At 38.3% G+C, this 24,320-nt stretch overlaps 1 long non-coding RNA gene across 3 annotated transcripts in view, besides 1 other annotated feature; it reads right to left on the bottom strand.

Annotated features, from left to right (window-relative positions):
* SOX2-OT (SOX2 overlapping transcript) overlaps window positions 1–24,320 on the bottom strand; it is a 685,549-nt gene that overhangs the window by 376,824 nt on the left and 284,405 nt on the right. The gene's annotated exons all lie outside the window — the stretch shown is intronic.
* Window positions 4,723–5,922: an enhancer, noted in NCBI's record as "BRD4-independent group 4 enhancer chr3:181077271-181078470 (GRCh37/hg19 assembly coordinates)". NCBI's record gives its function as "activates an origin of replication core promoter dependent on BRD2, P300/CBP, MED14 and CDK7 cofactors, and independent of BRD4, by STARR-seq in HCT116 cells {active_cell/tissue: HCT116}" and the evidence as "EXISTENCE:reporter gene assay evidence [ECO:0000049][PMID:35650434]".

Here is a 24,320-nt window from a genome sequence, read left to right as displayed (position 1 = left end):
GACAGTTTTATTCATGTTTCTATCAAAGGTTTTAGGTATAATTTTTTAGAGGTTAAGAAATATTTATCGCTATAGCACCTATAATCATCTCACACATCATATGAATCTCACCCTTTGAACAGCAGTCAATATTTCTTGTGTTGGCTCACTCCTTTTTATTAATTAATTTTCCATAACTGCAATTATTTATAAATAGAAGGTACTTAATAAACATTGAAATAAACATATAACATTTTAAAAGTAAGAATTGTTCATTTATAAACCACTTAAAATGTTCTAACATACCACCAGCAGTAATCTGGGAAGCCTGACATCAGGGTTAAATTATTTCTGTTTTAATTTGTCTATTCCTCCCAACTCTCCTCTTACCAAGGACCAGACTCAAAAAGTGCTACAGCCAGAAATGAGTCTGTCTCTGCTGCTTGGGGCTCTGCCCACAGGGAAGGACCAACCCCTCTAACTTTAAAGCCTGGTTCTAACTCTGGTCCAAAGACCTCAGCCAATGTCTGTAAAGTGTTCCTGCTCACAGAGAGCGGAGACCACAAAGATAAACCCACCAGGTAGAAGGGAATGGTTTAAGGACGTTTGTTTTCCATCACGAAAGAGACACATTTCTAGTTTTTGTGTGGTTCCAGACAGCACTGCATTCTTTGGAAATTCCAAGTTACTTCAATAATATCTTGGAAAATTGACTACCTGAGGTCAACCTATTGTAATGGCACAAATGTTGATTCTCATCCTCTATCCCATTAGCCTTTGCTGGCTTTGTTTCTTAGGATAGCCATCTGAATCAATTAGTTCAAATTTCAAGGTTGAACCTTGACTAAGTTACTTCACGAGGGTTCTTAAAATGAACTAACACTTGACAGTGATTTATTCTGCATGCTACTGTTCGTCTCCTACCTCATCCTCCCTTAACCACCAAAGGTATAGTTTCTTGGGGAAAAGTAAACAGTCATTGTCAAATTGATTCTCTCTCTCTCTCCCTTTTCACTTCCCTCCTTCTCTCAAACACAAACACACAAACTGATTAAACTGATTTCTATTTACAATTATAAAACTAACAATATTCAATTTCTTTAACATATAAATCAAGTACCTAGAAAACACTTTACAAATAACCCAAAATGAAAGGTGAGCACCCTAATTGTGCCACTTGTCTAGACAAGGATCTTATAATTTTTTCAACCATTAATTTATTAATTGACTAATATGTATTCAGCACTGTTATGTATTTTTGAGCATAAAAACATAAAAAATACACCACAGGGTTTCAATGCATTTGCAACCTTTATATGCCTTCAGTATGTTTATGTAGGGAGCAATGCAAGATGATGTTCTATAATTATACAATAAGTTTGATAATGCAGACTACATGTGTTATACTATCATTAATAATTACAATGTTGGCAATATTTTCCCCATTCCTCAGAAAGAGGCATTATTATTATCTCTAACCTATAGGCAAGCGTTAGGGAATTTAAGTAATTTGCCAAGTACTAGATAGTGTTTGGCAAGGCCAAGACTAGAACCAGATCTGACTGCAAATCTCATGTTTTTTTCCTATGTGTTCTCTCATAAGACTTTGCACAGTGTTGAACACATAGTAGGCGCATAGTAATTGACTGAAGATTTAAAAACACAAAACGTTCACTTTGAAATAAGTACAGATAAGATCTATACAAGACAGGCTGATTTGTGTACTTGACTAGATAAGAGTATTACATTCTCAGTGTGGGTTCCCCCATAAGGAGAGTCTTAAATAAGGACTTGCATGAAGAAGGTAAGCCAGGAAACAGGAGTCAGGGAGCTGGGAGAGTGATAGATGGGAAAAAAGAAAGGTCAATATAAAGGTTCAATATCAAGTTTCTAGCTGTGGAAAACGGGTTTGATTTGCCAGACCACCTGGAAAGTACTCAGAATGCCTGAGATGCATTCAGTGTCTCCCTTCATCCATTGGCTGAGGGTTCCTCCAAGAGGTAGTAAAGACCAACACTTCCTGGTTTCTGACCTTGCTAGAAGGCTCCTACCTGGAAAATAGCCTGAGGCAAAAAGCAGAAGGCAAGCATTTGCACTGAACTGTCTGTTCTAATTACAGCTGAAATCAGAGATGGGCCAATGAGATGGAATATGATGTACCAGAGGTATGTTCTGCAGTTACTTATACTGAATTACTAAAGATTTTTTAAATGGCTTGCAAAAGCTTGCAAAAATAATGGTTTTACCTCTTGATGTCCAATCAGACAGCAATGACTGGTTTTGCTTTGTTTGTAAAAAATTTGAATGATTTTGATAAAATTTACCAAAAGACACTCTACCTTAAATTTAATTTGTGGTTTAATTTGAAACACAATGGAAGCCAATCTACTTAACAGGTGGAAATCTTTCTCTAATTTGAATAAACTCGAATAAATTTTAATGAAATTCGATACAAGTGTGCATTTATTCATTTAATGTTTATAGAACACCTGTTCTAAGACAGGAGGTATTTACAGTGTTGAATCTGACATGAACCCTACCCTCAATTAGTTTAGAGTCATTTAGGTTAATCACATCAAGAGACATTGTTGGGCATTGCTAATTCCATAGAAACTGGCAAAAGCAAAACACTGGGGTGAGCTAGATGCTTAGGGGATGGCACACATATAGGGTCTGGGTAGTCCAGGCTATGAGAGGGAAGAGGATCTCTGGAAAGTGCAGTAACAAGTAATAGATAAGCAAGGGTCAGATAAGTACAATATAAAACTGGGGTGACATAAGCAGTTAGGAGCCTTGCAACACATTATGCAGAATAAAATGCTAAAAAAAGCAGGCAGGCAGCTGTTTGGTATCAGCAGGTAGCAGGACTGGAGGCTGGGAAGGTTACCAAGAATATGACTCAGTCACAGGAATCAAGAATATTTTTAAACCCATAAGAACAAGTTCTTGAAAGCTGTACCACAGGTACAAATCTCAGTGGCTTATTACAACAAAATGTTTCTCTCTCAAGCTATATGTCAATGATGGGTTGATTGGGATCTCTGTTCCATGTGGTCCTCCCTCCAGGATCAGGCAGATACAGAAGCTGCCATCTGGGGAATTACCAGATGCCATGATAGAGGGAAGAGAAGTGGGTTGAATTACATACTAGGCTTTAAGCCTTCAGTCTGAAAGTGCTTTACACTACTTCTACCCACATTCTATTGGCCAAAACATGTCATACGGCCAAATGTAACTTCAAAGGGACTGGGGAAACCATATCCTCTTACAAGATGTCTGTGGAAAGACTGAGGCCAACCACACAAGTCTTACTCCTGCAAAATGAAACGGTGAATAAATACACGTACATATACAAACATATAAATCTTTCAATAGACAAAGACGATGTAGAGATAGGTTCTGAATGTGTTCCAAACTAAACCGTAATTTAAAATATTAACACAATGAAAACGTTCCTCAGAAGTGTCTTTTATTAAAGGTCCCTTGTCTCTCTCTTAAAAACCACATAATTGACAAGTTTATTTTATATTCAGAAAGTAAGTATAAGCACTTTGGGATGCTGAGGTGGGTGGCTCACCTAAGGTCAGGAGTTCAAGACCAGCCTGGCCAACATGGTGAAACCCTGTCTCTACTAAAACTACAAAAATTAGCCAGGCATGGTGGTGCGCGCCTATAATCCCAGCTACTCGGGAGGCTGAGGCAGGAGAATCGCTTGAACCTGGGAGGTGTGGAGGTTGCAGTGAGCCAAGATCCCGCCACTGCACTCCCGCCTAGGCAACAGAGTGAGACTCCATCTCGAAAAAAAAAGAAAAAAAAGAAAGTACAGGCTCAACATCAAACATCATCCTCTAAGTTGTCAACTGTAAGCCAACATATCTGTAGCTCCTTCCTTGCATGAGAAAGAACAAGGGAGGCCGCTAATAGTGCTTGACTGGTGGGAATAATGGAAGGGGTTAGGCCTCGATAGGTTTGGGGATAGACATAAATAGAGTAAAAGGTACAGTCCTAAAGGGTTTCCCTCTTCCGATTCTTCCATTGTTCAGCACTTTCAATACGTAGCCCTTGATTAGTAGGGCAGAGAAGTCAAGGAAATAAAGCCTCAGGCTCATACTTACTTAGGCTTAGCTATGACCACAAAAGGCAAAAATGTCAAATTCAGAATGGTCCATCTCCTCATCATTCTCATTCTACTCTACATTCTTTTATTTTAAATTTTTTTTAAAGAAAAACCACTCTACAAATAAAAAAAGAAGAATTAGAGCTTGCAAAAGGACAAATCCACTGCCTCTCAGATGTTTGTTTCTAGATATGACTTCTAATTATAGTGCCTCTTGCTGACTTTCAGCAGCATTCATCGCTTTTTCCCCTAAAACATCTTAACGTTAAGTATGTTTTTAAAAATTTTAGTGTTGACCCAGAAGAGCCTTTCCCCTCTGTTAAATTACTAACATGTTGATCTCTTCCAAGTCCTTACAGAAATGGAACAAGGAATTGGTTTATACCTCTCAACACCTGTGTTTCCCTGTGGTCTTGAACTCATCATGCTTTTTGAACCAACAAATTCCCAAGACCCATGAACTGTTCTCCCTTTACATTCTCCTTAATGTGCACACACTCCCAGCTTTTAGTATGGTTGAAAACACCCTTCCTTCTTCTTCTTCTTCTTCTTTTTTTTGAGACGGAATTTCACTCTTGTTGCCCAGGCTGGAGTGCCATGGTGTGAGCTCAGCTCACTGCAACCTCTGCCTCCTGGGTTCAAGTGATTCTCTTGCCTCAGCCTCCTGAGTAGCTGAGACTACAGGCATGCACCACCATGCCTGGCTAATTTTGTATTTTTAGTAGAGATGGGGTTTCTCCATGTTGGTGAGGCTGGTCTCGAACTCCCGACCTCAGGTGATCCACTTGCCTCGGCCTCTCAAAGTGCTGGGATTACAGGTATGAGCCACCACGCCTGGCCATCCTTTCTTCTTAAGACTTTCTGTTCATTTGGCTCCTACGATAATGTGCAATCCAGATTCTTTTTCTCCTCTGTCATCAATGGCCTCTTTTCTTATCCTGATTATTTAAAAGGGTAAACATTCTTTAAGTCTCTGTTCTAACATGTTTTCTTTCTGGACCACATAATCTCTCCCAAGCCTTCAAATATGACCTCTATGTAAAAGGCACTGAAATTGTTGTCATTAATCTTGACTTCTTTCTAGAGCATGAGACACCTGCGAACACCTTTGAATATGTCACACATCCACTCAAAACTGCACTGGGTTCTCAGAACAAAATTATCTATTGAACAAATTCTAAACTGTACATCTCACACTAAGATTTAAGTCCTCCATGATGCTGCTCCAATCTAATTTCTGACTAGTTCCTGTTCTAGTCCACATCAAGAATCCTATACTCCAGTGAAACAGAACTCCTCACTGTTCTTGTAATTCCAATTCCCTTTTTTTTACTGTCTTTACCTGTGTTTCTACTATTTCTTCTACTGAGCATGCCTTCCTGATGTCCACATTGTACCCATGCTTTAGCAGGAATGTTTTATAAGATGTTTCACAAACTTCGAAACTAAACAAAATGCAAACCATACGTGAATATATCATAAAAGAAAGTTACCTGCAGCAGACAGATGTTCCATTGAGCACTCTGTTTACATATGTCCAGAATGTCGGCAAAACTTCAAGCATGTTCATAACAAAACTTTCTTCTCCTTGGCTCTTGTGTCTCTGTACTCTTCTTGCTTTTTCAGAGAAGTAATTTTCCCTTTAATACTTTCAAATTCCCTCATAAACTCACCTCCTGCCAAACCTTTCTACATACCATTTCCTAGAAAATAATCAAGCTTTCTCACTCTCCCTTTCTGAGGAAATGTAAGGAGCTATTGCTTCTGTTTCTCCCTTCTTTTGCAAGAGTGTCTTCTCCCCTTTTTCTCTATGCCTTTCCCCTCTTCAATCTTATTCAGCATTTGATTTGATGCAGAACACACTGTCACACATCAGTAGCCACCTGCAGTGACAACTTTATTTCTCTATCTTGTTTTTGTCTGGCCTAATTATAAACAAATACATTGACATAGCATTCAGATTAGACATCAAAGGCACCCTCTTATATAATATACATATGTACACACAAACACACGTTTAGAACTTTTAAGTTACTAACTCTAGACTTATAATTTTACTTTTGATCTTCTCTCCCCAGATAGGCTAATTCATGACCCGTAAAACCACTCTGAGCACATCCACCAGGGGAAGTCATCGTGATTTCATCTCTGTGCCCCAGGAGAAAATTAGAGTGCATGTGAGAAGGCCAAAGGTCCAGGTTGTGGAAAAGTATTCATTGCAGCAATGTCTCCAAAGGAGGGAGTAGGGTGATAAGGCCACTTCACTTTTTTATTCTTTTGTTGATTTCCTTTTGGACTTGTCAAATGAAGTGCTGAGATGAGCCCTCTCCTTCCTATAGCTCAACAATAGAAGTGAAGATGCCACAAACACTCCCAGGATAAAGGAGATAAGACCCAATGGGGGCAAAGGAGGAAAGTGCCATGGTGCTTATGGAATCCATTGCTGGATACGGTCCAACTTGAACAATGAACCACATTTGCATCACTACAATAGCAGCCTTCTTTTTCTAACCTTGGGGTAATGAAAGCCTCCAAACCCAGATTTCTGCAAAATGAGTAAACAAGTCTGATTTCTCTCAGGTTGACTCATTTTACAACTGTGTTTATGAGTTAGAAATAGATGTGCAACAAACCACGGAAAACGGGCTTGATGATGATCAAATGTGTTGTTATGCACATACCCACAGAGTGGCAGAGGGGTTTGATAATACATTAGAGTGTGGTAAAAAACAAACAAACAAACAAACAAACAAACAAACAAAACAGGTATGGAGAAATCAAAAGTCCTAGATTTCAAGCCTGCCTCTGCCATCTATGAACTTAATAACCTCAAACAAGTTAATTTAACATCTTTGGTTTTCTCAATTAGAAAAAACAGAGGTAAGAATATATATTTCATATGGTAGTCATGAGGATGAAGTGAGGTGGAGTCAATGAAAGTGCCTGGTGGTGAGCAAGGATGATGGGGTTGCTTCCAGCTGTACACACTGCCCCCTACTCTGGCCCTCCCTGTCCTCCACAATGTGTCATTTCTATCACAACTGGGGAGGCAGAGTACATAGAGATCCTTCTCAGGGATCTGGTGAGGACTGAAGAGATAACAAAAGCATTTAGCATGGAGTTGGCACTGATGACTCAGTACATACTTGTTCTCATTCTCGTTTGAATTGTGAACTAATATTGGCCAAGATCTTCAAGGTGAAAATATGATACAAGTCTTTAGAAATTGTTTATACACCCAGTTTTTCCTGCAGTATGCCATCCTCTCATTCACCATCTCATCTAACACTTTATCAAGTGCTGTTGATTTTTGTTTCCAAAACACACTTTAAATTTATTCACTTCTTACATCTCTATTTACCCTTTCAATCATTTTTCATGAGGAATCTAGAGTGGCATTTTGAAGATGAAAATATGGAAATAAAGACAGTGAAATGAAGCCCGATTGCAAAATATTGCTATCACAACACTTGAAATAGTAAAATAAAACCACCAACAATAACAAAATAAAACCTTCCAAAAATTGTCAACAGCAAACAAACTAGCTAAGGGTTACAACCATACACCATATGTTTCAAAAATAATGTATAAGAAAAAGCAGAAGACCATTGCAACAAATCTTTCACCTTGCAGAAGCTGGAAAGGGAGAGTCTGCAAATCCCAGGAATTTTCATTAATAACTACTGCCCCCCAATTAGTAGAGATGTGGACTGAGATGAGTGGGTTGCTCAGGAAAGAGTCAAAGTGAAACCTTCTGGTGTGAATCCAAGGAGCTCAGCAGACATAGGTGAGCACCAAGGCTATTGTTTTCTTGGTTTCCACACTGAAGAAGGGTCAAGGTCTGAAATGTAGGGCCTCTGCTGTGACGGTAGAATAAACTCTGGGTAGGCCATTTAATGAGATTTTAGGAAAAAGAGCAAAGTTCTGTCATTCAAGGCCACAGAATAGTTTTCTTCTACTACTCCCTCACCTCACCACTTTCAAACTACAGAAAAATGGACCAAAGAGAAGTATTCCAACTCTCTAATTGTAGCTGGGAGAGGAAAAAAAAAATAGTTCTGAAATACAATGGGAAAGAAATAAGAAGAACTTAGCCATACAAATTGAGGGTAAATGAATGTCTGGACAGAAATGCTTATGTTAAGCACAGGCAAGAGTAGAAATTGCAAGGCAGCATTACAAACAAGATACAGCAAATAAACATATCCATGAATATCTAACAAAGAAGAAGAGAAAAACAAATGATAGAGCATAGCATACTGAAGACAGGTGAAAAACCCAACCTGGAAGAAAACATAGCTCATGGAAAAGTCAAGTATTCCTCACCAAAGCTTTGAGTCATAAAAGAATTTAATAAGTGAATGAATACAGTGAAACAAAAGGTCAAAAATAGGAAAAAGTGGAGGAGAAAACAGGCTACAAGAATCCAAGCAATACTATCACAGAACAACAACAACAAAATTAATGATCCCTGGCTGACTCTCCAGACTCATCTTTCACCGCCTCTCATCTTTACCTTCTCTGAGCCCTTTGAATATAGCCGGGGCCTCCACACTGACTGTCCTTCTATCTAAATGTCTCTTGTCTCTTCTCTTAATCTGCTACTTTCTACTCACTTTTAATTGCTTAGCTTTAGGTTAATTAAAAAAAAAAAAACCCACCTGACTCCATAGTCCAGATTAAGTCTTCTTTCTATACTCTTAAATAAACTTCAATTTTTTTCTTTATAATATTAATAGCTATTTGGAATTCAGTATTTATATGATTCTATGCCTACTATCTATCGCCTCATTAAACTGTAAGCTCCATGAAGGCAGGGACCCTGTCTGTCTTTTTCACTACTGTATCTCCACCAGCCTTGTGCCCAGCACATAGTAAGTACTCAGTAAATGCTTATTGATTGATTCAATGGATGAGCAAAAAACAAGTATATTTGGGAAAAACAGGAGGCTGCAATATGACAGCCACATTTGAGTTTCTGTGACTGTCCTGGACCCTTTTAAAGAGAGGGCCCAGCATTTGATGTGACACACTGACAGAAGAGAGAAGTGAGCTTGAGTTTTGAGAAGAGTATAGTTCTTTTGTTTACTTCCACAAGCCCAGTTGAAGGTTCTTGCTTGACAGTAAACTGATTAAAGCTGGATTTTCAAACTGTATTGGTCCTATAAGCAGAGGTGACTGAAAGATAAAAGTGGTCTATTGGAAGAAGCAGTCTCGTATGCTTTTTTATCATGGAAAGATAATTATGCCTAAAGAATGGAAGAGTAAAAAGAGCCAGAACAAGAATGCAATGCAATGCACACATGTAGAAAAGAGCAGCATTGGCAGACCTGGCTGAAAACAAAAATAAAGGTAAAAATCTAATGTTCAACTTACAATCTGAAGCAAATGGACCTGTTTTCTACATTAACATCTCCAAACCAATATGGATGTCACCACATAATCACCTAGTAAGCAAAATGAAAGGATGTATGATTTCCTGTATTTCTACAGATGAGCTGAGTGGACTGTTTACTTTTTAAAGGGAATCTGTTTCATTTAAAGAACAGATTCATTGAAATAGGAAGCTCTCCTAACAACTTACATGAATCTATTTTTAAAATTTGATTTATTTTTACAGTCATGTCCTTATTGAGTAACTGTAGATGTGGTATAAGGCTGAGTAGGGGATGGCACAGGCATTAATGAAAAGTCAGAGCACATTTTGGCTAGCACTTTGGGAGGCCAAGGTGGGCAGATCACGAGGTCAGGGGTTTGAGACCAGCCTGGCCAACATGGTGAAACCCCAACTCTACCAAAAATATAAAAATTAGCTTGGCGTGGTGGCATGCCCCTGTAATCCCAGCTACTCAGGAGGCTGAGGCAGGAGAATCATTTGAACCCGGGAGGCGGAGGTTGCAGTGAGCCGAGATCATGCCATTGCACTCCAGCCTGGGTGACAGGGCGAAACTCCATCTCAAAAAAAAAAAAAATATATTGAAACAGATGTAACCACAGAAGACATAGAAGAAATATTTCTGGCACTGTTTTCCAATAGGAAATTGGGGCTTCTGGGAAATGATGAAGTTCAAGGGAGACTAGGAAATAAACACAGGAAGGTTTCAAAGGTGGTACTAATGAGAGGTGGGTCATCATCTTACATCTTTATTCTTACATTCAAAGTGCTTTTAATTTTTTCATGCTTTGTCTCTCTCATGAGATGCTGCTTTACAGAGCTGTTTGACAGAAGTGCAATTATGAGACAAATACACATCTCATTTTTTATTTTGGGGTGATTTACTCCATATAAGGAACAAGGAACCTAAAATTTTGGAATGACAATGATGAAACTATTACTGACAACTAATATATGAATGCTTATTGTGTTCTAGATAATGCTTTTCTCATTTAATTCTTCAACCATCAGATATGTGCAACTACCATTTTTACGTTAGAAAAAAAAATGGGCATAGAGCAGTTAATTAACTTGTCCAAAGTAACTGATAAAGTCAGGATGAATATAGCTACCACCTTTCTCAAATTTATATCCTCAGCCTGGATATAATCCAAATATATATACTTAAAGTATTTAAGTATCCATGCCTCTTTGATCTTAGCCCCAGAGGTTTTAATCTATCTCATCTACATCTATCTCATCTATCTATATCTATCTCAACCTCACCCTGTGATTACACTGAGCAACCAGAGCTGACAATCACTGCATTACCTTAAGAACAGACATTATGTCTTGATTAGCATTCAGTACCTAACGAATGCTAGGTACTGAATGCTACCTAGCATTCATTAGGTACTGAATGCTACCTAGCATTCATTAGGTACTGAATGCTAATCAAGACTGCCCTTCATCCTGACTCAAATTTAGAAAACCAGATTGATGATGATCCTCTAGCCTCTTGCCATCCAAAATGTGGACTGTGGGACTGCAGCATCACATCTTCTGGGAAGTTGAAGTTGGTGGACAAGCAGACTCTTGGACTCCACCTGAAGATCTCCAGGTGAACTACATGCATATTAAAGTTTCAGATGCATTATTCTACTCAAGATTCTAGGACTTCTATAAAAATTAAAAAACAAGACAAATGCTTCTTATTTAATTGGAAAATGCAAAAGTTCATATATTCAAACTGTGTAGACAAAGCCTCATTTCTTACTTTAATGTATTCTTTGTACCAAGAGTGAATATTGCTGCTATTGTGGGTTGTACAAGTGTTGGTACATTTAGGAGTAAAGATGATGTGGGATAGTGGTTGGGATTACAGGCTTGCTTGTCATGAGAACGTAAATTTAAATCTTAGTTTTATCACTGATTCACTGTGTGAATAGGGCAGTTCCTCATCTAGCATATGGGATTGATAATGATACTCATGGGTCTTTGTGGGATTAAATGAGATTATGATTAGCACTCAGAGAGGGCAGAAGCAATCAATATCTGTGAAATAATGTGAAGGGAAGAGCTTCCAACCATTTGCAGACTCCAAAACATTGACTTCAGATCTAATCCATCCACTGTGTTAGTCCACTGCTAATATACAAAGGTACTTCATCAAGGAGAATATAACTGGGACCTTCATCTTTCATAGCAAAATGGCATCCTTGCATGGGGTCTCCCTGGATTCATCAACAGAGATTGCTTATGCTTAAAGCTCTGTTCTTATAGGGTGTTCAAGGAGAAACTGACAACTAGCCTGAAACTTCATCCAAACTCTGGTAAAAGCCTGAGTGATTTGCTATAAGAGGAGAAAGTTGGATATATGTTGTTTTCATTTATTCTTCCAAGTATTCTAAGTTCTGTACAATTCAGACTTTATCTCCAGAAAATTTTATCAGGTACGATTATCTCACTTTCCTGCTTCTATTCCCTTCATCACCCCAATATGTATTCTCAATTATATTTTTTCATATTGGCTGCACATGACTAGCAGCTATTAAGTTGATCTGTGCTAAATTCTTTAAGAAGTTGGAAGAAAAATTTCTCTTCCCATAAAATGTACATATTTCCTTTTGTCAGAGAGTAATTACAGAATTCATCAAACCCACCTTTTTGCCTCGGTTGCTAGGACATTCTGAAGTAAATGAGTTGATCCACAGTAGCATTATTAGTTCAGGTGGCTTATATATTTGCTATAAAATTATGCTGACAGATATACAAGAGGTTTGAATAAATAGAGATACAATATTATTGGATCACAAGACTCAATACTATAAAAATGTCCATTATCTCTAAATTATTCTGAAAACTAATAAAACCACTCAACTTCTGGGATATTTTTTCTAAAATTCATTAAAAATGATTAAAGGATGTCCAAAAAAGTTATATATTTTTTGAGACAGGGTCTTACTCTGTCACCCAGGTTGGAGTGCAGTGGTGCAATCACTGTTCACTGCAACTTCGACTTCTTGGGCTCGGGTGATCCTCCCACCTCAGCCTCCTGAGTAGCTGGGGCTAGAGCTGCATGCCACCATATCTGGCTAGTGTGTGTGTGTGTGTGTGTGTGTGTGTGTGTGTGTGTGTGTTTTGTAGAAATAGAACTATTTAAAAATGAAACAGATGTAACTAAAGAAGAAATATTTCTGACACTGTTTTCCAATAGGAAATTGGGGCTTCTGGGAAATGATTACATTTCACCATGTTGCCCAGGGTCAAAAAAGGTTGTTTTTTAAATGACGTGGAGAAATGTCTTTTACTAAACAACACATTACATAATAATAATAATTGAAAGAGTATGATACTGATGCTGGACTAGTTAAACTGATTAATGGAATTTAAGAAAAAAATTTGAGTATATTTTTTAGAACAGGTGTCCCCAAACTCCTGGCCACAGACTGGTACCAGTCAATGGCCTGTTAGGAACCAGGCTGCACAGCAGGTGAGCGGCAGGTAAGCGGGCATTACCTCCTGAGCTCCACCTCCTGTCAGATTATCATTGGCATTAGATTCTCATAGGAGCGTGAATCCTACTGTGAACTGCACATAAAAGGGATCTAGGTTGTATGCTCCTTATGAGAATCTAGCTAATGATTATCTGGGGTGGAACAGTGTCATCCTGAAAGCATCCCATACCTACTCCCATCTGTGGAAAAACTGTCTTCCATGAAATGGGTCCCTGGTACCAAAAAGGTTGGGGACCGCTGTTTTAGAAGATATTAGCATACTAATAAGGTGCAATTTTTAATAGATTGATGTGTTAGGCCATTCTTGCATTTTTATAAAGAAATACTTAAGACTGGGTAATTTATAAAGAAAAGAGGTTTAACTGGCTCATCATTCTGCAGCCTGGACAGGAATTGTGGTGCTGGCATCTGCTTCTGGTGGGGGCTTCAGAAAGCTTACAGTCATAACAGAAGATGAGGGGGAGCCAGCGTGTCACATGGTGAGAGTGGGAGCAAGAGGGCAAGGTGAGATGTGCCACACACTTTTAAACAACCAGATCGCATGAGAACTACTCACTGTCGTGAGGACAGCACCAAGACTTTCATGAGGGATCTGCCCCCATGATCCCAAAACCTCCCACCAGGCCCCACCTCCAACATTGGGGATTACATTCCAACAAGAGATCTAGAGGGACAAATATCCAAACCATATCAAGTGATAAGAGCATCACTCAGTCAGTGATATTGAAATAGCTAAATATACATGAAGAAGAAAATAAAGTTTTATCTCTACCTCGCACAAAAGTAAATTGCAGATGAATCAAAGGCAAGTATTCAATATAAAATATGCCAATACTTTAAAATGTAGATGAATTTTTACATAATCCTGAGGCATGGAAAGGTGTTCTAACTATAATTCCAATGGGACACAAAATAAAGAAAAAGTTTGACATGTTTTGCTATACTAACATTAAAAACTTCTGACTGACAAAAGTACAATGAAACAATTAAAGGCATAAATTAACCTAAGGAAAAAAATGTTTACCACATAGACAAAGGGTTACTAGCCATATATAAAGTGATTTAAAAAAAATGAACTACCTGATAGAAAATTGTCTAGTGAATAATGATAGGCACTTAGTGAACATAAAATGGCCAATAAACAGATTTTTAAAATTTCCGTCTCAATAATAATCAAAGAAATATAGTTGAAACAAGTTCTTTTACACAAAAGCCTTTTAGACTATGGTCGAGAATTTGGGGAAGAAATAGAAACAGAAAAATATAGAAGAAAAGGAGAAAGTTATTACTGAACTAATACTAACACTAAAAATGCCTACTCATGAAATAGATTTAACAATCCTACACAAGAATATCATATTCACTCTTTTTTAGAAAATTTAAATAATTTATACTTTCCTTGGAAATTATCTTTTCATTAAAGTTTTAATTTTTATTAATATAGAATTACATGCTATATAATTTTAATTTAAACATTTCTCTTATTATCACCCCTTTTCCATTTATATATCTAGAAATTGTGTTTTATTACTTATTTTTCCTTAATCAACATAAACTGAAGTTTGCTTATCTTATTGGCCCTTTTGAATGAACTCCAGGATTACAACCTCAACAATTTTTTTCATTTTTACCTCAATAATTACTGCCTTATTCTTCAGTAACATCTGATGTTTTTTCCTGCTTCTTTGATTCCTTTTAAAGTTTCTTTCTGTTTTTCTGTTTGTTTGTTTGTTTTTCTTTTTTGAGATGGAGATCCGCTCTTGTTGCCCAGGCTGGAGTACAGTGGTGCAATCTCAGATCACTGCAATCTCCACCTCCCAGGTTCAAGTGATTCTCCTGCCTCAGCCTCCTGAGTAGCTGGGATTACAGGTGTCCACCACGATGGCCAGCTAATTTTTTTTTGTATTTTTAGTAGAGACAGGGTTTCACCATGTTGGCCAGGCTGGTCAGGCCAGGCCTGACCTCAAGTGATCTGCCCACCTCGGCCTGCCAAAGTGCTAGGATTACAAGCGCGAGCCACTGTGCCCGGCCTTAAAATATTTCATTCAAATGCTTAGTTCATTAATACTTTTTTCTCTAATAATAAAAGTATTTAAAGGTCCGAATTTTCCTCCGTGTGAATTTATAGCTGCATCTTATAAATGTTGATATGTATTAGTTTCATTACTTGCTAAAGTTTTTAGTTTTTGGTTTTTTTGTTTTTTTTTTTGTTTTTGTTTTTGTTTTTTTGAGACGGCGTCTTATTCTGTCGCCCAGGCTGGAGTGCAGTGGGTCGATCTTGGCTCACTGCAACCTCCGCCTCCCGGATTCAGGCAATTCTCTGCCTCAGCCTCCTGCATAGCTGGGATTACAGGCGCCTGCCACCACGCCTGGCTAATTTTTGTATTCTTTAGTAGAGACAGGGTTTCACTATCTTGGCCGGGCTGGTCTTGAACCCCTGACCTCGGCCTCCCAAAGTGCTGGGATTACAGGCATGAGCCACTGCGCCCAGCCAGTTTTTAGTTCTTTAACAAACATTTTTGATAGAGTATTTACTCTTCTTGTGACTTCATATATTTATATTTTAAATTTCTAGTTTCATTGCATCACTGTCAAATAATAAGTATTTATACTTTTTGGGCGTTTATTTAAATGTTTTTTGCAATTTTTGTAACTTTCTTTTGCTATCTGAAACACAGTGTTCTCTGTTAGTGGTGTATGAAGTTCCATACATATTTAAACAATGTTATCAGTTACAGAGTTTAGCTCTTCTGCAATTTTGTCTTATCAAAGCCTCTGAGGTATGCAGGAGACTTTTATGATTTTTTTAATCTGAAATTTCTAAATGTATCGATTTATGTGTTTCAGTATTATGTTAGTGAATGCACATAGGGTATCATTGATATAGGTGCCTTGCGGAGTATATATTTTATTTTATATTTTATTTTTAACTTTTAAGTTCAGGGCTCCATGTGCAGGTTAGTTGCATAGATAAACTTGTGTCATGGGGGTTTGTTGTACAGAGTATTTCATCACCCAGGTATTAAGCCTAGTACCAATTAGTTATTTTTCCTGATCCTCTCCCTCCTCCCACCCTCCTCCCTCTGAAAGGCCCCAGTGTGTATTGTTCCCCTCTATGTGTCCATGTGTTCTCATCATTTAGGTTCCACTTACAAGTGAGAACGTGTGGTGTTTGGTTTTCAGTTCCTGCATTAGTTTGCTAAGGATAATGCCCTCCAGCTCCATCCATGGTCCTTCAAAGGACATGATCTCATTCCTTTTTATGGCTGCACAGTATTCCATGGTGCATGTGTACCACATTTTCTTTATCCAGTCTATTATTACTGGGCATTTAGGTTGATTCCATGTATATGCTATTGTGAGTAGTGCTGCAATGAATATACACGTGCATGTGTCATTATAAGAGAACAATTTATGTTCCTTTAGGTATATATCCAGGTATGGGATTGCTGGGTTAAATGGTATTTCTCTCTTTAGGTCTTTAAGGAATCACCACACTGTCTTCCACAATGGTTGAAATAATTTGAGTGTATATTTTAACAATTTAAAATATGTGGGCTTTTTTCACTTTTCCTTTGTCTGATATCACTACCATTGTTTTTATATTTTCCTGGTTTTTCTTTGACCTTCCTTTTCTTTTCATCGTTTCTATGTCTATTTTAGGTATGTCTCATAAACAACAAGTAGCTTGATTATGTTTTGAGATCCAATCTGAAGATATTTGTTTAATGATGGAGTTTAATTCATCAGATTTATCACAATAGGTAGCATCATTTGGTCTTGCTTCTATCATCTTATTTTTTTGTTTCTTTTATATAGCCTTACCTTATTTCTCAGATTAAGCTGAAATGACCTTTACATTTAGATTATAATTATTATCTTACACATTTTTTACATCTGTGTTACAATTCACACCATATTAAGAACAATAAAATTATTCATTCACTCAAATATTAATTAAGTACCTACTCTGTACCACATAGTAGAGTGAATTCTGCAGTAAACAAAACAGACATGGTCCTTGCTTTCAGGGGATTTTTCTTCATAGAAGATGAGAAGAAAGAAAAGACAAATTAGAAAATATTTGGCCAGTGGCAATTACTACATAGTAAATTAGAGAAGGGGTGCCCACTTTAAATTTGGAGGGCAGGCAAGGCTGCTCTATAGAAGTGAGACCCATTTGATGAGAAAGAGCCAGCAGAGTAAAGATCAGTAATGATTCTCCAAATATTAGGGAGAGGAAAGAAAGACTCTGAGGTGGGAAAGAGTCAGTAAGTTTTAAAAATTGAAAGAAGCTGGAGCATATGTTGTAAGTGAGAAAGTGATAAAACATGGCAGGGTCTAGATAAAGGAGGACTTTGTAAATTATAATAAAGAGTTTATTTCAAGTGCACTGCAAAGCCATTGGAGAGTTTTAAGATTGTGGGGGTTTGGGGATTGTTTGTGTTTGGTCTTTGTTTTGTTTGTTTGTTTGAGGGGAAGGAGTAACATGATCTGATTTTGAATTGTAAAATGTCCCTCTGCTGCTGTGTGTGAATCTATTCTAGAAAAAGCAAGAGCATCACCAGGACAGATGATGCAGATGGCGAAAAGTTACCAGATATGTTTTGGATGTAAAGATGATAGGCTTACTGATGGATTGAATTTGAGGGGAGTGAGGTCAAGAGCAGAATCAAATATAATACTTAGAGTGTTTTTTTCCAGCGATTTGGTAAATAGTGGTGGTATTTACTGAAATGTAAATCCCTGAAGGAGTGGACAGGTTTGATAGGGGTGCAGCAATTATGAGTTCTGTTCTGACTAATTTAAATTGACATACTCATCTGAGTGTCCATGAGTGATATCTACTAGTCATTTGGGTATACAAGTTTAGAGTTCTGGAGAAAATTTAAAGCAGAAATAGAGATAGGGGCCGGGCGCTGTGACCACGCCTGTAATCCCAGCAGTTTGGGAGGCTGAGGTGGGCAGATCACCTGAGGTCAGGAGTTCAAGACCAGCCTGGCCAACATGGTGAAAACCTGTCTCTACTAAAAAATACAAAAATTAGCCAGGTGTGGTGGTGTGCACCTGTAATCCCAGCTACTCAGGAGGCTGAGGCAGGAGAATTGCTTGAACCCAGGAAGCAGAGGTTGCAGTGAGCCAAGATCACGCCACTGCACTCCAGCCTCAGTGACAGAGTGAGACTCTATCTCAAAAATAATAATAATAATAATAATAAAAGAAAATAAAATAAATAGAGACAGGGTTCACTGTGTATAACTGAAGAGAGAAGGCCCCTAGACCAGCACCCTGGGGCACTCCAAAAATTGAAGGTTATACAATTCTATTTGTAGAACATAATACAAACTCCAAGTTTCTGGTCTATTGGTTAACTTTTCTCCCTTTCCAGGGCTGATGTAATTTTTTCATCCTAATTTATATTTCTTTGTTTATTTCAGAAATCAGGAAAGGATCATTAAACACTTAGGTTCAAATAACCATCTTGAATTAAGTCAATGTCAGATGAGTTGGAACTCATCTGAATGATTGCCGTCCATACAATAACTAAATTAAATTAAAAGTTTTTTGAAGAAAGGAGTTTGTTTGCTGATGAGCTTTGCATCTAAGAAGAGGCTCAAAGCAGCTCTGTTGAATATAGGAATAAAAGATCCAGCCTAGCTGTGGTGGCTTATTCCTGAAATTCCAACAATTTGGGAGGCCGAGGCAGAAGGATCGCTTGAGGCCAGGAGTTCAAGACCAGTCTGGGCAACATGGCAAGACCCCATCTGTACGAAATTTTTTTTTTTAAAAAATTGTTGGGCAAGGTGGCATGTGCCTATGATCCCAGCTACTCAGGAGAGGCTGAGGTGGGAGGATCACTTAAGCCCAGGAGCTCAAGACTGCAGTAAGCTGTGACCGTGCCACTGCACTGCAGCCTGGGGGACAGAGTAAGGCTCTGTTAAAGAAAAAAAAAATCCAGTGGATGAATTGTCAGACTTTGTGGTACCAAATTCAGACTTTTCCACAGTTCAGTCTTTCAACAGACCAGCCAAGGAAAGGGGATCTTTAGAGCACAATGGTCTGGTTCTACCAACTACTAGCTAGTTACCTAACTTCTCTACTTTAATAAGATGGCAATAATGGTCTAATACTTCAGTTGACCCTGAACGTTGTAGTGGTTAAGAGTGGTGACAAAAATCCACATGTAACTTATAACTCCTCATAAGAAACTCCTCAGAAACTTATCTACAAACAGCATACTGTTGACTAGAAGCCTTACCAACAATATAAACAGTTGATTAACACATACTTTGTATGTTATACATATTATGTATTGTATTCTTACAATAAAGTAAGCTAGAGAAAATAAAATTATAAGGAAGAGAAAATATATTTACTATTCATTAAGTGGAAGTGAATCATCACAAAGGTCTTCACCCTTGTTGTCTTCACATTGAGTAGGCTGAAGAGGAGGAGAAGAAGCAGGGGTTGGTCTTGCTGTCTCAGGGTGGTAGAGGCAGAAGAAAATCTGTATTTAAGTGGATCCACACAGTTCAAACCCATATTGTTCAAGAGTCAGCTGCACTACCAATTTTTAGTAATATTTAACAACTACTAATAAAAATAATAGGAGCAGTTGGCCAGGCGTGGTGGCTCATACCTGTAATCCCAGCACTTTGGGAGGCCGAGGCGGGCAGATCACGAGATCAAGAGATCAAGACCATCCTGGCTAACACGGTGAAACCCCGTCTCTACTAAAAATACAAAAAATTAGCCGGGCATGGTGGCAGGCGCCTGTAGTCCCAGCTACTCGGGAGGCTGAGGCAGGAGAATGGCGTGAACCTGGGAGGCGGAGCTTGTAGTGAGTCGAGATTGCACCACTGCACTCCAGCCTGGGCAACAGAGCGAGACTCCATCTCAAAATAAATAAATAAATAAATAAATAAATAAATAAATAAATAAATAAAAATAATAATAATAGAAGCAGTAATAACCATCTTTCTACTTTGGTGAAGCTTGAATGCAACAATGTCTGTAAGCATTTAGCATGGTACCTGACATAGCATAAAGATTTAATAAGAGTGATTTCAGAGTGCTGCCCTGAACCCCAGCTTTCCAGTTCAATGCAGAGGCCCTGAGGCCTTGTGTGACTACAGCAGAGTGAGTTGAGTAGGAGAGGGTAGGTGATGGGTCAGAGAGTTGGTGGGGATCAGATCATGTGGCACCTTGTACACCAGACTTAGGAGTGTGGATTTTACAGAGAGAGAGAAGAAGCCATTGGAGTGTTTTGAGGAGAAAAAAGAAGTAATCTGGTTGATACTTAGAAACAATTTTATTCACATCTATAGCCCTAGCATATAGGACAATGCCCAGCACAAAGTAGGTGTTTAATAAACATATCTAGTTATCTGTAGAAATAAGCAATGCCAACTGATGTCAATTTCACTTCTGCTTATCGCCTAGGCGACTTTTCATAGAAGTTTCAATGCTGCATCATTAAATGTGGTGTTAATATGCTGTTCTCCCCACTCTAAATCACTCTCATTTTTAAGAATTTCTCTACTCCCTCTCTATTACTGCATCAAACTCAAAACATACTATTTAGAAGGAGCTTACGATTTCCACCAAATGTAATACTTCCCAAAAGAAATGGCCATCTTTTAGATAATTATCAGTATTTTGGCATAACCTAATTTGTTACTTAGCAAAACTTTTCCTCATTAAATTTTCCTCAATAAAAGATTTGATCATTTCTTAGTGAACATCATCCTTAGGGATTAAAAAAAAAAAGGAAAAGAGAACGCCTACGAATCCATTTGGGTGTCACTGAAGCTCACGTGGGAAGTAATTATCCCATTATTCACCATACTCCTAAAGCGCCGTCTGGAAAACTGCATGCAATTTTTGGCTCTTTCTATATAAAAAAGATTGCTAATTTGGAAAGAATCCAAAGGGTAGTAATAATGATAAAAGGCTTGGAAAACATGCCATTAAAAAGAGTCTAAGAGAATGGAGTGTGAACTGCCAAGAGATCTGATGGAGGCAGAAAAGACTTTAAAATACCATGTGGGAAAGAAATCTAAAAGGAAAAGGGATTATATTTTCTTAGTCCAGACACTTATACTGAAAGTTTAAAACGGAGAATTAAATTTTGAGCCATGCAAAAACACATTATTCCTAATAATATGTTCAATCAGGAAACGTAGCAGAAATGCAAAAAATGCTAAGATAAAACTGGAGAACTCAGGATGTTGCCATGTTCCTTCTAAATATCTCAGGCAATGGTTTCTGAACCCAACAGAAATCCTTTAAATCTAAATGCTGAGCAGGTGTTGCTACACATGAATTGGCACAAATGGATAGGATTTCAATCAATTATTTAAAAACCTGTGTGGTTATCCTTCTATTCCTAAATGTAAGAGAAGAACAGGCATGAGAAGACACAATTCTAACCCACTGAAGAGCTGTGGTTTTTCTGAGGGCACAGATAGCAAACACAAAGTAAAAGGTAAAGAAGCTGGGAAGGGAAATATTGGCTGAATACAGAAAAATATACAAATTCAGTCTCAGGGTTCTGAATTTGAATCCAAGAATTACAGTAAATTACAGTACTGCCTTAAAATTTATCCTGGGATTACGACTGAGACAAGTGAACAGATCAATGGAGTTGCCTCTTTAAAATCCTGATCCAGGAGACATTTTCAGTGGAGGAATCTACCTGTTCTATGGGTGTGTATTCAATACACTAAAACATTCGAATGAAAGGTAAGCATTTAGCCAACTACCTTGCTGTCAAATATTCAGATGATCGCCTGCCTTTTCTTCTTAAATTTTCACCTTGGTGGTTTAGTATCAAGAAGTTAGCATAGACAAAGCCGATATCCAAATTTACCAGCCTAGTCTTCCAGCTCGTTAGCTTCAACTCTTTGTTCCCCCTTCATTCCAACCTCTTATGATTTCCTGTTCCCAAACTCTACCCTAACTCCCTGAAAATTTTCATTTTTCTCCAGATATGCCCTTGATCTTTTCCCCTACATTTGTACCTACATCTCTACCTGCACATACTTCCATCTTCCCTGGGTCTCTTTGTTTATGTCTAGTCATCTCTAAAGTATCTGCTGAGACCCCGCCCCCTTCCATAGCACCTAACCTCACCTTCTCTTATTTTTCTATAGTCTTCCCTTTATACCTTAAACCTGTTATGTTTATGTATTTGTATTTTCTGCCCACTAGCTTATAAATTTACAAAAGTCAATTACCATATTTTATTCACTGTTATGTTTTTCACCACCTAGCAAAGTGCCCAGAATAAAGGAGCTATCTAATAAATGTCACTGGATTAAATGAGAAGTAAGACAAAAAGATGGTCATTAATTAGGATATGGCCACAGTGAATAAACTTGCCCAGTAAAAGTATATATTCTTTTTTTTTTTTTTAAATACAGATCAGAGCTTTCTATGTTGCCCAGGCTGGCCTCGAATGCCTAGCCTCTCCTCTTTAAGCACCAGGACAACAGGCCTGAGCCACCACGGCTCCCAAAGTATATATTCTTAAAAGTATGACATAATTTCTAAAATGTAGGCTGTTTTAGGAGATTATAGAAAACAATGTATATGTACTTTAGAAAATTCAGGCAGGGTGCGGTGGCTCACACCTATAATCCTAGCACTTTGGGAGGCCAAGGCAGCAGGATCACTTAAGCCAGGAGTTTGAGATCAGCCTGGGCAACATAATGACACTCTATCACTACAAAAAATTTAAAAATTAGTTAGGTGCGGTGGCATGCATCTGTAGTCTCAGCTACTGGGTGTGGTGGGGCAAGGTACTGAGGTGGGAGGATTGTTTGAGCCCAGGAGGTCAAGGCTGCAGTGAGCCATAATCACACCACTGCACTCCAGCCTGGGCAACAAAGCAAGATCCTGTCTCAAAAAAATAAAAAAGACAAAAGGAAAAAAAGAGCAGAGCACTGGAAAAGGAAAAACTGAAAAAAGAAAACACCTATCATTACTTTACCATTCAGAGAGAACCACTGATAACATTTTTATTTGTAAATTTCTTCCTACTATATTTTAAAAGGGATTTCTACAAAGTTGATAAAATAGTCCATATATGTATTTGTTTTTCCCCAAAGGTGATTAAAAGATTTTCTCAATTACTCTTTATTACAACACCTAATTCTATTGTTAAACCATATCTTACTTAATCATTCCCTAATTGTTGGGCATTTACATTGGTTTTCATTTTTTTCTAATATAAGTAATTCAACACTGAATACCTCTGAGTAAAAGAGTTATCTACCCATCTTTTTAGAAAATAGTGTTTAATGGGCATTTAAGCTGTTTTTTGCTGTAAATAATCTAACTTGGCTTTTTAGTGATTCTATTTTTCCTCTCCTCAGCCCTATTAAGATAATTTCTGCCCTGTTGACATCAGTTATGTTCGTGGCTTTTCATACTGTCCAGGTCATTTACTTAATCCCTTTCTCTGGCTGCCTCAATATGTTGTAACAGATGCTTTCTTTCTTTTTTTTTTTTTGTGAGACGGAGTCTTGCTCTGTTGCCCAGGCTGGAGTGCACTGGGGCAATCTCGGCTCACTGCAAGCTCCACCTCCCGGGTTCACACCATCCTCCTGCCTCAGCCTCCAGAGTAGCTGGGACTACAGGCGCCCACCACCACACCCGGCTAATTTTTTTGTATTTTTTTAGTAGAGACGGGGTTTCACCGTGTTAGCCAGGATGGTCTCGATCTCCTGACCTCGTTATCCGCCCACCTCGGCCTCCCAAAGTGCTGGGATTACAGGCATGAGCCACTGCGCCCGGCCAACAGATGCTTTCTAATGAAGCTGGATATACTCTATATTTTGTAGTGACCTTTTTTTTCTTTTTTTTAAGACAGAGTCTCACTCTGTTGCCCAGGCTGGAGTGCAGTGGCGTGTGATCTAGACTCACTGCAACCTCTGCCTCCCATGTTCAAGCCATCCTCCCACCTCAGCCTCCCAAGTAGCTGGGATTACAAGTGTGCACCACCACGCCTGGCTAATTTTTGTAGTTTTGGTAGAGACGGGGTTTCACCATGTTGGCTGGACTGTTCTCGAACTCCTGACCTCAAGTGATCTTCCCATATCAGCCTCCCAAAGTGCTGGGATTACAGGCATGAGCCACGGCGCTGGGCTCTAATTGCTAGTTCTTAGGGATTTGGGGAAGAATTTAAATGATGGAGATTTATACTGGCAGAGTTTCTCAATCAATTACTGTGGAAATAATTTTACTGATTTCACAAAAAAGTTATCTTTTAAGACTTTGATCATTTTAAAGACACACACATTATATTATTAATTCTTACAAAAAATAG

This window comes from Homo sapiens, chromosome 3 (genome assembly GCF_000001405.40).
Source record: "Homo sapiens chromosome 3, GRCh38.p14 Primary Assembly".
NCBI classification, from domain to species: Eukaryota; Metazoa; Chordata; class Mammalia; order Primates; family Hominidae; genus Homo; species Homo sapiens.
This window is presented reverse-complemented; position numbering and strand designations above follow the sequence as displayed.